Source organism: Homo sapiens, chromosome 14 (genome assembly GCF_000001405.40).
Source record: "Homo sapiens chromosome 14, GRCh38.p14 Primary Assembly".
NCBI lineage: Eukaryota > Metazoa > Chordata > Mammalia > Primates > Hominidae > Homo > Homo sapiens.
In genome coordinates this window covers 36,680,751-36,699,558 of record NC_000014.9, presented here as the reverse complement: position 1 = coordinate 36,699,558, position 18,808 = coordinate 36,680,751, and the positions used below count along the sequence as shown (strand labels likewise).

At 40.3% G+C, this 18,808-nt stretch overlaps 1 protein-coding gene across 5 annotated transcripts in view, besides 1 other annotated feature; it reads left to right on the top strand.

Moving 5' to 3' along the window:
• Positions 1-18,808, top strand: part of SLC25A21 (solute carrier family 25 member 21) — a 494,686-nt gene that overhangs the window by 473,048 nt on the left and 2,830 nt on the right. For all 5 annotated transcript variants that reach the window (XM_047431871.1, NM_001171170.2, NM_030631.4 and 2 more), the window contains 2 exons: positions 14,634-14,815; positions 15,679-15,731. In XM_047431871.1, the coding sequence (XP_047287827.1) occupies positions 14,634-14,815; positions 15,679-15,731 (235 nt within the window). The remainder of the gene's footprint in view (positions 1-14,633; positions 14,816-15,678; positions 15,732-18,808) is intronic.
• Positions 14,475-14,976: an enhancer, noted in NCBI's record as "NANOG hESC enhancer chr14:37153788-37154289 (GRCh37/hg19 assembly coordinates)". NCBI's record gives its function as "activates a minimal SCP1, AML or CMV promoter by ChIP-STARR-seq in primed H9 embryonic stem cells {active_cell/tissue: H9 hESC(primed)}" and the evidence as "EXISTENCE:reporter gene assay evidence [ECO:0000049][PMID:30033119]".

Genomic DNA, 18,808 nt, shown 5'->3' with positions numbered 1-18,808 from the left:
ACCTCTGTGGGTAAGGCATAGCTGAATAAAAGGCAGCAGACAACTTCTGCAGACTTAAATGTCCCTGTCTGACAGCTCTGAAAAGAGCAGTTGTTCTCCCAGCATGGCGTTTGAGCTCTGAGAACAGACAGACTGCCTCCTCAAGTGGGTCCCTGATCCCTGTGTAGCCTAACTGGGAGACACCTCCCAGAAGGGACCCACAGACCCCTCATATAGGTGGCCACCCCTCTGGGTTGAAGCTTCCAGAGGAAGGACCAGGCAGCAATATTTGCTGTTCTGCAATATTTGCTGTTCTTCAGCCTCCGCTGGTGATACCCAGGCAAACAGGGTCTGGAGTGGACCTCCAGCAAACTCCAACAGACCTGCAGCTGAGGGACCTGACTGTTAGAAGGAAAACTAACAAACAGAAAGGAATAGCATCCAAATTAAAAAAAAAAAAAAGGTCATCTACACCAAAACCCCATCTGTAGGTCACCAACATCAAAGACCAAAAGCAGATAAAACCACAAAGATGGGGAGAAACCAGATCAGAAAAGCAGAAAATTCTAAAAATCAGAGTGCTTCTACTCCTCCAAAAGATCGCAGCTCCTTGCCAGCAACAGAACAAAGCTGAACGGAGAATGAGTTTGACGAGTTGACAGAAGAGAAGTGGCTTCAGAAGGTCAGTAATAACAAACTTCTCTGAGCTAAACGAGGATATTCGAACCCATCGCAAGGAAGCTAAAAACCTTGAAAAAAGATTAGACGAATGGCTAACTAGAATAAACAGTGTAGAGAAGACCTTAAATGACCTGATGCAGCTGAAAACCATGGCACGAGAACTTCATGATGCATGCACAAGCTTCAATAGCCAATTCGATCAAGTGGAAGAAAGGGTATCAGTGACTGAAGATCAAATTAATGAAATTAAGTGAGAAGACCAGGTTAGAGAAAAAAAGAGTAAAAAGAAAAGAAGAAAGCCTCCAAGAAATATGGGACTATGTGAAAAGACCAAATTTACGTTTGATTGGTGTACCTGAAAGTGATGGGAAGAATGGAACCAAGTTGGAAAACACTCTTCACGATATTATTCAGGAGAACTTCCCCAACCTAGCAAGGCAGGCCAACATTCAAATTCAGGAAATACAGAGAACACCACAAAAATACTCCTCAAGAAGAGCAACCCCAAGACACATAATTGTCAGATTCACCAAGGTTGAAATGAAGGAAAAGGTGTTAAGGGCAGCCAGAGAGAAAGGTCAGGTTACCCAGAAAAGGAAGCCCATCATATTAACAGCAGATTTCTTGGCAGAAACCTACAAGCCAGAAGAGAGTGGGAGCCAATATTCAACATTCTTAAAGAAAGGAGTTTTCAACCCAGAATTTCATATCCAGCCAAACTAAGCTTCATAACTGAAGGAGAAATAAAATACTTTACAGACAAGCAAATGCCAAGAGATTTTGTCACCACCAGGCCTGCCTTACAAGAGCTCCTGAAGGAAGCACTAAACGTGGAAAGAAACAACCGGTACCAGCCACTGCAAAAACATGCCAAATTGTAAAGACCATTGATGCTATGAAGAAACTGCATCAATTAACGGGCAAAGTAGCCAGCTAACATCATAATGATAGGATCAAATTCACATATAACAATATTAACCTTAAATGTAAATGGACTAAATGCTCTAATTAAAAGACACAGACTGGCAAATTGGATAAAGAGTCAAGATCCATCAGTGTGCTGTATTCAGGAGACCCATCTCACATGCAAAGATGCACATAGGCTCAAAATAAAGGGATGGAGGAAGATCTACCAAGCAAATGGAAAGCAAAAAAAAAAAGTAGGGCTTGCAATCCTAGTCTCAGATAAAACAGACTTTGAACCAACAAAGATCAAAAGAGACAAAGAAGGCCATTACATAATGGTAAAGGGATCAATTCAACAAGAAGAGCTAAGTATCCTAAGTATATGTGCACCCAATACAGGAGCACCCAGATTCATAAAGCAAGTCCTTAGAGACCTACAAAGAGACTTAGACTCCCACAAAATAATAATGGGAGACTTTAACACCCCACTGTCAATATTAGACAGATCAACGAGACAGAAGGTTAACAAGCATATCCAGGACCTGAACTCAGCTCTGCAACAAGCAGACTTAATAGACATCTATAGAACTCTCCATCCTAAATCAACAGAATATACATTCTTCTCAGCACCACATCACACTTATTCTGTAGTTGACCACATAGTTGGAAGTAAAGCACTCCTCAGCAAATGTAAAGGAACAAAAATCACAACAAACTGTCTCTCAGACCACAGTGCAATCAAATTAGAACTCAGGATTAAGAAACTCACTCAAAACTGCACAAGTACATGGAAACTGAACAACTTGCTCCTGAGTGACTACTAGGTAAATAACGAAATGAAGGCAGAAATAAAGATGTTCTTTGAAACCAATGAGAACAAAGACACAACATACCAGAATCTCTGGGACACATTTAAAGCGGTGTGTACAGGGAAATTTATAGCACTAAATGCCCACAAGAGAAAGCAGGAAAGATCTAAAATCGACACCCTAACATCACAATTAAAAGAACGAGAGAATGAAGAGCAAACACATTCGAAAGCTAGCAAAAGGCAAGAAATAACTACAATCGGAGCAGAACTGAAGGAGATAGAGATACAAAAAAACCCTTCAAAAAACCAATGAATCCAGGAGCTCGTTTTTTGAAAAGATCAACAAAATAGATGTACGGCTAGCAAGACTAATAAAGAAGAAAAGAGAGAAGAATCAAATAGATGCAATAAAAAATGATAAAGGGGATATCAGCACCGATCCCACAGAAATACAAACTACCATCAGAGAATACTATAAACACCTCTACGCAAATAAACTAGAAAATCTAGAAGAAATGGATAAATTCCTGGACACATACACCCTCCCAAGACTAAACCAGGAAGAATTTGAATCTCTGAATAGACCAATAATAGGCTCTGAAATTGAGGCAGTAAGTAATAGCCTACCAACCAAAAAAAGTCCAGGACCAGATGGATTCACAGCTGAATTCTACCAGAGGTACAAAGAGGAGCTGGTACCATTCCTTCTGAAACTATTCCAATCAATAGAAAAAGAGGGAATCCTCCCTAACGCATTTTATGAGGCCAGCATCATCCTGATACCAAAGCCTGGCAGAGACACAACAAAAAAAGAGAATTTCAGACCAGTATCCCTGATGAACATTGATGCAAAAATCCTCAATAAAATACTGGCAAACCGAATCCAGCAGCACATCAAAAAGTTTATCCACCATGATCAAGTCAGCTTCATCCCTAGGATGCAAGGCTGGTTCAACATATGCAAATCAATAAACATAATCCATCACATAAACAGAACTAATGACAAAAACCACATGATTATCTCAATAGATGCAGAAAAGGCCTTCGACAGAATTCAACAGCCCTTCATGCTAAACACTCTCAATAAACTAGGTATTGATGGAATGTATCTCAAAATAATAAGAACTATTTATGACAAACCCACAGCCAATATCATACTGAATGGGCAAAAACTGGAAGCATTCCCTTTGAAAACCGGCACAAGACAAGGATGCCCTCTGTCACCACTCCTGTTCAACATAGTGTTGGAAGTTCTGACCAGGGCAGTCAGGCAAGAGAAAGAAATAAAGGGTATTCAATTAGAAAATGAGGAAGTCAAATTGTCTCTGTTTGCAGATGACATGATTGTATATTTAGAAAACCCCATCGTCTCAGCCCAAAATCTCCTTAAACTGATAAGCAAATTCAGGAAAGTCTCAGGATACAAAATCAATGTGCAAAAATCACAAGCATTCCTATACTCCATTAACAGACAGAGAGCCAAATCATGAGAGAACTCCCATTTGCAATTGCTACAAAGAGAATAAAATACCTAGGAATCAAACTTACAAGGAATGTGAAGGACCTCTTCAAGGAGAACTACAAACCACTGCCCAAGGAAATAAAAGAGGACACAAACAAATGGAAGCATATTCCATGCTCATGGATAGGAAGAATCAATATCGTGAAAATGGCCATACTGCCCAAAGTAATTTATAGATTCAATGCCATCCCCATCAAGCTACCGATGACTTTCTTCACACAATTGGAAAAAACTACTTTAAAATTCATATGGAACCGAAAAAGAGCCTGCATTGCCAAGACAATCCTAAGCCAAAAGAATAAAGCTGGAGACATCACGCTACCTGACTTCAAACTATACTACAAGGCTACAGTAACCCAAACAGCATGGTACTGGTACCAAAACAGAGATATAGACCAATGGAACAGAACAGAGGCCTCAGAAATAACACCACACATCTACAACCATCTGATCTTTGACAAACCTGACAAAAACAAGAAATGGGGAAAGGATTCCCTATTTAATAAATGGTGCGCTGGGAAAACAGGCTAGCCATATGTAGAAAGCTGAAACTGGATCCCTTCCTTATACCTTATGCAAAAATTAATTCAAGATGGATTAAAGACTTACATGTTAGAACTAAAACCATAAAAACCCTAGAAGAAAACCTAGGCAGTACCATTCAGGACACAGGCATGGGCAAGGACTGCATGACGAAAACACCAAAAGCAATGGCAAGAAAAGCCAAAACTGACAAATGGGATCTAATTAAACTAAAGAGCTTCTGCATGGCAAAAGAAACTACCATCAGAGAGAACAGGCAACCTACAGAATGGGAGAAAATTTTTGCAATCAACCCATCCGACAAAGGGCTAATATCCAGAATCTACAAAGAACTCAAACAAATTTACAAGAAAAAAACAACCTCATGAAAAAGTGGGCAAAGGATATGAATTAGACACTTCTCAGAAGAAGACATTTATGCAGCCAACAGATACATGAAAAAATGCTCATCATCACTGGTCATCAGAGAAATGCAAATCAAAACCACAGTGAGATACCATCTCACACCAGTTAGAATGGCAATCATTAAAAAGTCAGGAAACAAGAGATGCTGGAAAGGATGTGGAGAAATAGGAACGCTTTTACACTGTTGGTGGGAGTGTAAATTAGTTCAACCATTGTGGAAGACAGTGGCGATTCCTCAAGGATCTAGAACTAGAATTACCATTTGACCCAGCCATCTTGTTACTGGGTATATACCTAAAGGATTATAAATCATGCTACTATAAAGACACATGCACACATATGTTTATTGCAGCACTATTCACAATAGCAAAGACTTGGAACCAACCCAAATGTCCATCAATGATAGACTGGATTAAGAAAATGTGGCACATATACACCATGGAATACTATGCAGCCATAAAAAGGGATGAGTTCATGTCCTTTGCAGGGACGTGGTTGAAGCTGGAAACCGTCATTCTGACCAAACTATCACAAGGACAGAAAACCAAACACCGCATGTTCTCACTCACAGGTGGGAATTGAACAATGAGATCACTTGGACACAGGGCGGGGAACATCACACACTGGGGCCTGTCAGGGGTTGGGGGGCTGGGGGAGGGATAGCATTAGGACAAATACCTAATGTAAATGATGAGTTGATGGGTGCAGCAAACCAACATGGCACATGTATACCTATGTATCAAACCTGCACATTGTGCACATGTACCCTAGAACTTAAAGTATAATAATAATTTTTTAAAAAATTTTGGTGGAACTTTTGTGGGGCTGATGGGTTTTTTATTCATTTAAAGACCAGCCTAGGCAACATAGTGAGACGCTGTCTCTCCAAAACATTTTTTTTAAATTAAAAAATTAGTTGAGCATGCTGGCTCACACCTGTAGTCCAGCTACTCGGGAAGCTGAGGTGGGAGGATCGCTTGAGCCCAGGAGGTTGTGGTTACAGTGTGCTAAGATTGCACCACTGCACTCCAGGCTGGGCGACAAAACAAGAGCCTGTCTTAAAAAATAAATAAATAAAAATAAAAAACTAGATATGTGATATGTATAAATCTTTATGATCAGTTAAAATCCCTAGATTACATGAACTATAATCAAGTCATCTCCCTCATCTTAAACTTGTATAGTTGTCTAAATTCAAAATTTTACATTCACTATGCTTAAATTTAATCTTGTATGTTCAGTCTAGTGCTAAAGCCCATGATGATAATTTTTAATGTTGAGTCTCTCATCTGTCATCCTAGCTTCCCCTCCCTGCCTGTCATCAGCAGATCCATTGAGCAAGCCTTCCACATTTTCTCCCATGTTCATCCAACCTTTCTTCAGGCTGCCATATGTTCACATCTTTCACAGCAGAGCCATTCTGTTCAGCCAGAGGAGAATCCCTCTAACCACGCTCTCATCCATCTTTCATTCAGTGCCTTGTTCAGCAGGATAAAATGGGAAATTTTAAAGTGATTTTCTGAAATTAAGATGTGCAAAATGATTCAAAAAAATGAAATTTTCAAAAATGTATTACTACAATAAATCTTCTGCAGTTCCTTCATGCATGAGCTTCACGTAGGTACCACCTCCAGCTTGCAGCCTTAAGGAAATGAAGGACTGCGTTGCAACCTCCACTTCACCTATTGTGATAGTGATGTGCTACAGAGGGCATGGGAATGAGTCACAGAATTGAGTTCTGCAAAGAAATACTTTTGTGATACCCCCAAAATCATGTAACTCCTTGTAGGACCACCCTATTTGGTGCAGTACCAGGAGGAATTAAAGGGTGACTTAATTGCAGAGATCAAAGAAAATGTGATTTGGGCTGACATGAGGTGGGAAGATTCCAAGATTAGATTTTAATGCTGAGTTCCCTTAAATGAAAAGCCCTATTGCTGTCCTCTACTCAACCTTGCCTTTTGCAGAGAAGCAGGCTTCCTGCCCTGTGTCCCTCATCACCCCCACTCCTCACTGGCTGACAAATCCTGCTTTCTCATCTTCCTTAACCTCCTTCTTCTGGCATATCGCTGGGTGAAATGCCTTCTTAAAGACCCCAGACCCTAATCACAAAGACCTCTGAGATGAGCGATGTTTCTGTTTATCAAGCTAGCAGCCAGCTGGCCAGCTAACGAAGCCAGGTGTCAGAGCCCATGCCAGGAAAGGTAAAAGGGGAGGCATATGCCTCTTTCAATGGACATATTTTATCTCCTCAAGTGCCATTGCCTTAAATTACTTATGCTGTCTTTAGCTCTTGGCTGTATAGTTTGGACTATATGGTTAAATTAGCTACAAATGTGTAGGGTGTTAACTGTTTTGAGTCATATGATCACGTTTCTGATGTTGAATTTTTAGAGGTTGTGGGACATCACAGCCGCCAGCGTTTTGGGATCACTTCTTAATGTCTCTTGTTAAGTCACAAAGAGTCTATAAATAATATGTTCTGTCAGAGAAACTCATTGATCTCCCTGAAGAGGGGCTGGTAAACACATCTCTTTAGCTGTGCACTCACAAAAAGATCACACAGTGTGATGGAAACAGCCAGAGAATTCTAGCAAGAAAACCTGGTGTTAATTCTCAATTCTAGTATTTACTAGTTAGCCATGTGTCTTTGGAAAACTTACACCTTCTCTCTGTCTCAGTTTTCTCATTTGTGAATGGAAATATTAATTTCAGCCTTAAAATGTTTGCAAGGGAATTAAACCATTTTTAAAACCTGCATGAATTGTTTTCCATATTATTATCACAGAATAAAGTCAATGCATGCAATATTCATTAATATTTCAGACTACTCAGCTCCAGTTTAGTTATATCACATGATTTATAAGAAAAATCAGAAAATATTTAGAGGAAAAGATCCATAGATGAGGAAATAATACATACCACTTATAAATAAATATTTAAAAAGAACTTTTTTTAAGTGTACTGGAAATAAAAGGCTATTGCAGTAACAGATTTTATTTTTATTTTTATTTTTAATTTTTCTAAAGACAGTCTCACTATATTGCCAAGGCTGGTCTCAAACTCCTGGCTTCAAGCTATCCTCCCGCCTTGGCCTCTCAAAGTCAATAACAGTTTTTAAATTCCAATGAATTACATCAAGAGTAGTTAACAGTTGCTTGCCCTTGCAATTGAGCAAAGTGTTGAAGTAAAATGGTTTAGGCTTATTGGTGAGGAACATCAATTAAGTACAAGAAACAGTTCCTAATTGGTGACAGTTGGAGCTAATTATGGAATTAAGTTGGAAATTTTTAATAACATAATAGATTTTTCATCAATATTAATATTCATTTACATAATTTATATGTGACCCATTCAAAATACTTGACTTAGGCTAGGTGGCATTCTGAATTCACTCCTAGTCTTGTGATTCTGGGATTTTTATTTTCTGTCACTTAAGTCTTCTCTTGGCCTAAGAGGTGATCTCCTTGCATGTTGAATGAGGGTGCAGCCCTGAGAGGCAAGTGCACATGTCTCTAAAACTGGTTGACATGTGGCAGTCTCAGAGTCACCGATACTTTGGCTTCTTCACTTCTAAATAATAGAACTTTAGCTCTCTTTTGACTAATTCAAGATTATATCCCTTTGTAAGGTAGGAAATTTCTGTATGGCTCAGGTACCTCGTCTGCTCTGGGATGTTGTGGGGCTTAAATATACAAAGGGCTTAACCCAGTACCTGACTCAGAGTGAGTGTCTTCTCATTCTCATCTTCTTCCTCCAGTTTTTAAAATAAATTAATGGAAAAAGGCAAAATGATACTCCAGGTCATGTGATTCTCAATTCAGAGAGCTAGCCATTCAGCTAATATGGTGACTCACTATAATAGTATGTCTTCTGTTGACTTCCTTAACAGCCAACGACTGGCCAAGCTTTAAGAGGCAGAAGCTAGATATCATCTTGCAGGACTCAGATAGTGAAATCCCAGGAGCAATTTCCTCCCCATACTGTATGTTTGCCCTCCATTTTTTTCACACCCCCACTTCAGTACTAATCACATTGAACTAGAATAGCTGCTTAGATGCCCATTCCCAGTCCCCTCTCTGGACCATTTACCTTCATATCCAACTCTAGCACCCAGTGTAGGAATGGACATATAAAGACACCCAATAAATATTTTTTGGCTGGATTCACAATGAATGAATCAGTCACAAGAAGCAATATGACATAATGGTTAAGAAACATAGGCTTGGGAGTCAGAAGGAGCTGGGCTTAAATCCAGGCTCCACCTCTTACAAGCAGTGTGATCTTGGACAACTGACTTAACTTTTTAAGTCTCATGTCCTTACCTGTAAAATGGTGTTATATGCCTAACTCATAGGGTTTGTTATATCATATATACATTTTGTGTACACTTTTTGCACATGACATTGTGCCTGGTAATAAATATTATTAATAATAGCATTATTACTCTTAACAGTGTGAAAAAATACAAATATTATAACATGTATAGCAATTTTTGTTGCTATTTACTTTTGCTATTAATTTCCTTGTTATTTATTATTATGGTTATCAGCAGAAATGCTGTACTTGCTGCTAGCCAGTACACAATGACCCACTCAAACTATGAGATAGGTATCACTCAGATCAGGTGACCCCACTGATAGCCATTCTGGCTTTGGACTGAGCTAAGGATAGGATAGGTTGAACAGAGTTAATATCATTGCCTTCAGTTGTGTAGCCTTGAAGAAACAACCCCTGTTTCCACCAAGGAAAGCTTCAAAATGCTTCCCAACACAGCCAGAGCCCCTTAGGGTCAATGATTAAGGTGAATCTTAGAGCATCAATTATCCAGCCCAAGGATCCAAAGAGGGTGAATGATCAACTTAATTAAGCAGTGGTTCTCAGACTTTACCATCCATCAGAATAACTTGGAGGACTTGTTCAAATAGATTGCTGTAGCTGGGCTCCATTCCCAGATTCACTGGTCTGGGGTGGAACCTCAATTTTGATTTCTAATAAGTTCTCACATGGTGCTGATGGTGGTGGTGTGGGGAACACACTTTGAGAATCACAGAGTTCATGGATATGGTTGAGATGTGAGTAACTGGACTCCAGAGCAGGAATGTGTGTGGAAATCATTTCACTTAGGTGGATTGCCTGAGAACCCCTGTGGAAATTAGGGCTTCCTATTTTTAGCCTCTTTGTTTTCAACCCTGCACTGCCCTTTCCTTACTTCATAAACATATTGGTAGGGAAAATCGTCTCGTGAAATTGTTTTCAAGCTTTTACAAGCCTAATAAAATCAACAGACACACTCCCCAGGAAAGCTCATCTACACAGACACAGAAGCTGATATGGTTTGGCTTTGTGTCCCCACCCAAATCTCATCTTAAAGTTCCCATAATTCCCACATGTTGTAGGAGGGACCCAGTGGGAGATGGTTGAATCATGGAGGCAGGTTTTCCCATGCTGTTCTCGTGATAGTGAATGGGTTTCATGAAGGCTGATGGTTTTAAACACGGGAGTTTCTCTGCACAAGCTCTTTTTTTGGCCTGCTGCCATCCACGTAAGATGTGACTTGCTCTTCCTTGCCTTCTGCCATGATTGTGAGGCCTCCCCAACCATGTGGAACTGTAAGTCCAGTTAAACCTCTTTCTTTTGTAAATTGCCCAATCTCAGGTATGTCTTTATCAGCAGCGTGAAAACGGACTAATACAGAAGCATTGCTTCGAATTTCAGAAGGTTCTTAGACACCTCCCTCACCAACCCACCCACTAACTCTTAGGAGTATAAGAAGAAAAACTATGCCTTGAGGCAAAGTCTTGGGTTCACTCGGATGTAACAAAAAATCCCTTCTTATACTTAACCTTTCAGTTAACTCATTTGTAAAATAGGAATAATAATAATAGTTCGTACCTCAAAAGTTGTGAAGATTAACAGATGTATTGCTTAGACATTTGCACTTAGCAGTATCTGGCACAAAATATGTACTTCAATCAACGTTTATTTTTATTAAAATTGTTACCTCTTCTGTGAGCTGGGGAAGGCATGTTTTAACCTGTAGTGAGGTGCTTGTGGGAAGAGAGGAGGCCAAGAGAAAGGCTGGAAATGTAGGGTTCTGGGCTGCTGGAGGTGGGGCGGTAGGACCGAAGGCGGCAGGCAGCCGTCCTGATGCTGCCTGGGTACTGCCCAGGGGCTTGCAAAGGCATCCACAGGGGTAACAGGGGTCTGGGTAGAGGGGACAGCCCCACTCAACTTGCTTTCTTCAGCTCCGAGCATCTTGGTTTATTTAGCACCTACAGTGTACTCTGCAAAACAGGTGACACAAAGAGGAGTAACACATGCTCCTATGCTGTGCAGACTCAGAGCCCTGCAGGGAAGAGAGATACACGCAAAAATATACTGAACACTAAGTGGGCCATAGCAAAGGTGAGGACTGTTGTTCAGACAGTATCTCGGGAGTAGAGGGGAGGATAAATCAATTTTGAGAGGGGATCTGTAAAACTTTCTTGGGTTAGTGGGATTTAAGCAGGACCTTAAAGGGCAGTGAGATTGCTATAGGTGAATATGATGGAGAAAGACATTCTAGGCTGCAGGAATTGTTTGAAGAAAAGCGTGGAGTTGGGAAAGTGCTTGGTATATTTGAGTAATTATGAATTAACCAGTGTGACCATAGTATGGATTCGGGGTAGGGTGTAGAAGTGGAAGCTAGAAAGATAAGTTGGAAGCATATAGTGGGTGTGGGAAAGAAATCAATGGCCAAGTGAGGCAGTTTGTCTTTATTCTCTGCGCATCCAGGAAGTATGGAGGGTCTTTGAGTAGGGAGATACCAAAAGCAGATCTGTTTTTCTAAAAAGAGAACCCTGATATTACTGCAAAGAATAGATCCTAGCAGGCAGGAAGGAAGCAAGACTTGGTAAAGGTAACAGGAACTTGATCTAAAGCCAGAGAGGTGGCAGTGGCCAGGAGAGGATGAACGGGAGAGGCATCTGAGATGCTGCATTCATGCGAGGATGGCTAGCGGCATGTGACAAAGAAAGCAGAGGCGAGCTGAGACAGTTGTCCTCGCACACACAGGCCCAGCCTGGGATGCTGGATTCAAGCAGGCTGTGTGGTCAAGGAAGAAACTGCCTACTGGCCCAGAAGCTGGTGGTCAGTGATAGCCTCATGGCCATCCCAAGCAAATTCTTTTCCTCCCTAGAATGCCCACAGGGGTAGCAACTGACCATCTGCTTTGCCAGTGTGGAACATCAAAATCACTGATTCCTAGACTTGGGTCCTTATCTGGCAGCCTCAGGAGCCCTGGAGAGCTTTTTAAACAACTTGCAGGCACCTTCTTCTCACCCCCGAGATGGGTCTGCAGCGGGACCCAGGCATCTGTATTTTGTAAAATTGCCAGATGATTCTGAAGCACAGCTGGATTGGAGAACCACTGTGGGATCTTACTGTTGTGCTGGGAAATGTATAGAAAACAAAGGTGGGCCGGGCACGGTGGCTCATGGCTGTAATCCCAACACTTTGGGAGGCCAAGGCAGGCAAATCACCTGAGGTCAGGAGTTCGAGAGCAGCCTGGCCAATGTGGTGAAACCCCATCTCTACTGAAAATACAAAAATTTAGCTGGGTATGGTGGCACATGCCTGTAATCCCAGCTACTCAGGAGGCTGAGGCAGGAAAATCCACTGAACCGAGGAGGTGGAGGTTGCTGTGAGCCAAGATCCTGCCACTGCATTCCAGCCTGGGCAACAGAGTGAGACTCCATCTCAAATAAATAAATACAAACAAAGGTGGACACTTACTCCTGCTAGTGAACACTATGATACGATGGCCTGGAGACCTAACCTTTTGGTTTCCAATGCCATGTCTCAAGCACAATGACCATCATTGAGTCTCTTTGTTCACCTTCCATCCCCAACTCTGGTCCTCAGCAAACACATCAGCCAGTCTCCCAAACTTCCCAGAAGGACAACGTGTATACAAATCATCATTTCCATTCTTGTCCTTAATTGAAAAAGAAAGAGAGCTTGGCAATGTCACGGGGATTTCAAGAAAGCATCTTTTCACAGAATGTTTGCATCTTTAGAAAACAGGCTACATAATAATACTATTCATTTTCTGCCAGGTTTGTGCAACACTTATAACACTTTTACTTATATTATTGTTTTTATTTCTCAGAAAAATGATACAATTTAGAGGTAAGATAGGAGTTAAAAACTTCCCTTGGATACACTGGGCTCTGGGTGATTCAGTGACTCATCAGAGGTCAGACAACCAGAGCTGGTCTAGAATTCACTGTCCTCCTGAGCTCCAGTTCTGCTTCTGTGCCATAATGGAGAGGAGTAACATAAAGGCATTTTTCTCTCCTTGTAAAAGAGAAAAAATGGGGGGAGAGGGAATTATTTAAACACACCTCACTCATACTGCAATCACTGCATTGTTTTTCCTGTTGAAACACCCTGTTGGTTTTCAAATCCCTTTAAACCTCCCCGGCACCTGTATGGCCCAGATCCAGGAATTATTACCAAACCCTTGCTTTTTATATTTAGCCACATAGGAGTTTCTGTGATGGTAACTGGCTCTTGGTTCAGTTGAAAATTTCAGAGCCCTCAGAAGTTTTCTTCTTTCATAGAGGCTGGAAGCATGTAATGCTTAGACCTGAATTTTCTTGTTTAACTGAAGCATGGTATGCTTCCCCTCTGGATAAAATAGTGTTGTGGCACAGCCCTATATTGTTCCTCTGTGATGATCCCTCTAAAATATTGATCAAAAGAGAGGGCAGGGAAAAGATAGGGTGGGGGGTCGGAGTCAGCAGCTTATAGTATGTGATATGACCTCTCTTCAGAGAACAGAAGACTGAAAACATAGAACTGAGGTTGGCAACATAATGAGAACTTCCCAGCAAATTCATTATAACAAATCATAATGTGAGCTCACAGGGCACAAAAATAGGCCAAAGGAAAGTGACTCCCACATAAGACCTAATTAAATACTTTGATGTCAGAAAGCAGTGCAGGGAGGGGTGGAAAATCAAATCAGACCAACGTGAAGGGCCTAAATTCTAACAGAAAGAAGAAATATTTCTCTTTTACTCACTCTCGCTCTCTCTTTCTCCTTTTCTTCCTTTGCCATGGAGGAAGAACAAGATTCCAAAACAATGGATTGTAAATTCTTCAGCCAATTACTCCAGTGACTTACTACTGTTTATAATGCACAGAATGTCACAGGCTGTTTTGCAGCCGCCCCAAGTTGGTTTGTTAATAACAGGAAGCTAGCACTTCTCAGTACAGTGGATCAGCTACACGTGAAAATAAATGCAAAAAACCTGGCGGGCAATAGCAGCAGACCGCGAGTAGCCTTGATTTAATTTAACATTTGGGGGTCCACACACAAATGAGCATTTTAGTAGGCTTCATGGTGGAAGTTGCTGTCATTTGTAAAATATTCTGGCCAATTAGCTAATAGTGTGCTTGGATTTCTCCTGTTTTGATACAGTAATACTAAGTACATTGTGAAGCCCAATTATACAAATCATCCCCATATGCCATACCAGTCTTTCTTTATGAACTGTGTTTATAAATCCTGTGTGAGGAAATGTGTACTTCAGCAATTTAGACCATGTGTAAAAACATAGCCAATGGGATTGTCAAGAAAACAAGTTCCAGCCTAGGAAATCCTAATGTGTTCCGCTGGAATAACAGGAGGGTGCCGGGAGTGCAATGCTCTGCTTAAATACATATTGCTTTATAGTGTTTAACTGATTTAGGGGCTTCCGCTCCCCTTTCTGTTATATTATTCTTCTTTTCTTTTAGGATCCAATCTTGGAGTTTTGGAGAAAATTTGGGATTGGTCTTCTCTCGGGGACAATAGCCTCAGTCATTAACATCCCTTTTGATGTTGCCAAAAGTAGGATTCAAGGGCCTCAACCAGTTCCTGGAGAGATCAAGTACAGAACCTGTTTTAAAACAATGGCAACAGTCTATCAGGAAGAAGGGTAACATAACACATTCTTATTTTAATAAATGTATGAGGCTCACGTATTGTTAGAACCGTATTGTCCTTCCATTTAGATGAGAACCAGTAAGCCCTCCTAAGTGGAGCTTGTGTCTAAGAAACTGCGAATATATATGACAAACTTTCCAAGACAACACAATAGTAAGATGTTGTAAACATGTGCTTACACCATCAAGTGACAATATGCTGCCTGTTTGCCTTAGAATGCCAAGGTGAACTTTCTACTTGGCAGTTTGTATAATGTAGTATTGTATATGTCCTTCTAATATATAGGCAGAAGAATAATTGTCTTCTGGCTGTAAATCCCATTAAATTGCCACCTAATTATATTCTTCTGGGAGAATTATAGAGTTCTGTAAAAACACTTTTAAAAATTTAAAGTATGTGCATTTTTCTGATTCTTTTAAATCTTACTTTCTGTTTCTTCGCCCCTCTTTTTCTCAAGTAAACAAGTAATATTTTATTATTTTGATATAAACTGCATCGTATTTCCTAATGTAAAGACTGAGTTTGTGGTCTTTTAAATTCAATTACAAAAGTCATTCTGTCCATATACACAGCTGTCTTGAAAGTAAGACCTGTCTTGAAAGCAAAAACCATCTCACTGATGAAAGTCATGTTTCTGATTGGACAGGACCAGCACAGTTGGGTAATAAAGAATTCATTAACTCTTTCCCCGCATCCAGTTTGCTGCAGAGAATACTAAGATGCTGTCTGCTTTGAGATGTGTGTAATTCCAAATAATTTATTTTTTTAAATGCTGGGTCCCTATCTCAATAAAGCTAAGGTACAACTCCATTTATTTTCAGAATAAGAACGTTTCTCTTTCCCTTCCCATTACAGGATTTTAGCTTTGTACAAAGGCCTGCTTCCCAAGATTATGAGACTTGGACCAGGTAATGATAATTTTGATTATTTAATCCTTCCTTCTTTATTGTTCTAGCGTCTCTTTTTTTGATATTTGTGTCCATCAGCAACAAAATATTTACCACTTTGTAAAAGACAGAAACCTTGAGAATATAAAGTTGTCTATGAGTATTTGAGATACTGAAGACATCCATTAGAAATGTTCTACCTTTGTTTATTAAGTACTATTTATGAACTTGCTGGAGGCTAACAGAAGCCAAAACCCAGCTTAAGTCAATAGGAAGAAGCCACAGGCAGTTGGAGTTTGAGTGAGAGCCGAGGTGTGTGCAGTGGCTTCTGGCTGAAGGGGAGGCTTTTCACTGAGTGAGGGACCAGCCCAGTCAAACGTTTCCTCGTGCTCCTAATTCATTCTTGCTCCTGCCTCAACTTCATTTCAAAAAAAGAAAAGGAGGACAGCTTGCCTCCATGAACAGCAAAGCCACTCATCTTTACAGTCACCTCTGGGGAGTGGTGACACCGTAACTAGCTGCTTACCTCTCCTGGGCTTTGTCAGCATGACGCTGGAGGCTTCTGGCTCAGGGCCTCACTTCAGGACGCCTACCCACAAAAAAACCGGCTGCCATTCCCACAGGGAGAATCGGCTGCCTCTATGTAAATAGATAAGAAAATAACTTCTGCAGACTCAACCGCCAGGGCAAATAGTCTCAGATTATAAGCAACCTTGTGAATAAGTACAAAAGTATACTCTAGACCACACATATATTTTTTTTATCAGGCTACACTCACCTACTTATACATACTGGTAATATTTCCTAGAACCTTCTCCTACACCTCCCCTCTCTCCCTTTGCAGTTCCTCCCTTTTAACACTATTGTCCTCCTACCCTGCTACACAAACACACATGCACATTCACCTTTAGATCTCAGCCCAATGAACCAACATTTCTATTAATCTAAGATAGAGAACAAGAGTCTGTAAATTGAAGCTGGTGAACAGCTCACACTTTCATATATTTAGGAAACACTTCCACAATTCCCAACCCATCTATCCCAATCTTTATAGGCCTTTACACATGGATTTTGTTTCATATTTGGGATTCAGACCTACCTTCCGTTAGTTATTGGCCCATGTGTAAAAGCTAACGCAGTAATAGAACGTGGGGAATTTTGTGCATCTCTGCCAGTATGTGGTGTTTTTCCTTCACCGCAGAGTAAAAACCTGCTAGTAGACCTAATATGAGAGGAAATCACAGCACCAGCCCTCAACCAACATTCTCAGAAAGGGATGGGCCTAAAAAGGGTGATGACAAGGGAGAGGTTAGCTAAAATGGTAATTGACTGGAACCTTCATCCAAAACTCTTAAATAATCTGACCCCAAGTTTTGTTAGAGGCTTGCAAATGTTTGGCTGGCTTTTTAAATGTTTTGCGTGAGAGGTCCTGAGTTGCTGTGGTGTTAGACTCAAAGAAAAGGGTTCTTGTGAACTGACTGTCCAGGCTAAGCCAAACTGTGAATATCTGGGAACCACTCACAGACCTGCCCTCCACTTCATTCCAAATGTGTGCATCCCAGCGACTTCAAAGCAAAGAAACCTAGAAAGAAAGGTACCACTGAGTTAAAGATTAAGACTTTTGAATGAAGGGTGAAATTTTTTTCTTTAAAGAATGAGAGAGAGAGAAAAAAAAAAAGAATGAGAGAGAGACAGTAAAAAAAAGAAAAGAAAGGTGAGCCTGGAATTTTTGTTCTTTGTTCTGGAGAAGCATCCAGCATTTTTACAATAGCCTTAGCAGCTCAATGTGGCTAACAATCAGGTACCTTCCATGAAAGAATCTTGAAGTCTGTGATTTAAACCTCAACTGTTACTAGGCCAAAAACTAACCCAACTCTGCATATTCTTGTCTTACATTGTGAATGATTAGTAAGAATAAATGCAGCGATTACCTACACATTAATGACCCTCTGTAGTGCAGCTCTTTTTGTTTGCCAGAGTTCCAAGAGGCCTAGAGAAGCTAAGAGGGACTAATAGAGTATCTTCATGGGTTAAAAATGAAAATTACAGGCAGATAATTATCTTTGGTATATGGTTACACAAACATGTGCAGCCTATAGATTAAAAAAAAAAGTATATGGCAGTGTGTTCAAAATAACTAAGACCCAAATCAAGTTCTATTTCTTTCCATCAGAAGTCAATCTTCTATTTCATGCAGCCAAGTCTTCTCTAAGTTGTGTTCAGGATATTTGTCCAAATTTTGATTTTGTGATGTTTTTCACACAGTTAGACATAAAAGGATAAAAAGAGATTATCCTGAAGGGCACAGGACACATGCTATTTACTGCATCAAATAGAACATAAAATGATCCATGTACAAATGCTTCTCCCAGTGGCTAGGTATTCAGCAGCCTCAGTGCCTGCTTTTCTGTATCACATTCCTGTTGACATAATACAGAGCATGTCTCTTCACAGCCAGTTATGTAGCTCTTTTCTTCCAAGACAAATGGTGGTCTCATGCCATCCAACCCCCACTACCAAATTTTCAAGTTCAAATCCATATACAACTGAAGCAGATAAAAGGAATGAAGGTTAGCTTTCAACCTCCTTTTGTTAGGTTTTGCAATGCAGATTTTTTAAATATTCAGAATCTAATTTCCACGTAGCAATGCAGTTTGAAAGCTATGACAGAAAACTAGACTCATCCATCAAGCACCATCTTAGAGATTTTCTTCTTGAATGCAATTAAGACTGCTAATTACGGACTGAAAAAGATAAATCCTTTATCTACACATGAAGAATCTGAAGGTTTCTGTTCACAGGAAAGCCACATGCCCTTACATGACTAAATATGCCTATATTTATTTACTTTTAAAAATTGAAAGTGCTTGAAAAAGAATCTGATGACAAATGATGAAAGTTGCAAAAACTCATGGGGAAAAATGTATTTGGAGACTCAAGATGGTCTTGATTTTATCCTGAGAATTTTCCACAGTAGTTTATATCTTGGTATTGAAGCTCCAGAACTGTTGATTCCGAACAGCCTCTGCCTGACAGGCTGTGCGAGACATCATGGATTCAGAAACCCAGTGGGAAAGCCAGTGCTATTCCAGAGGATT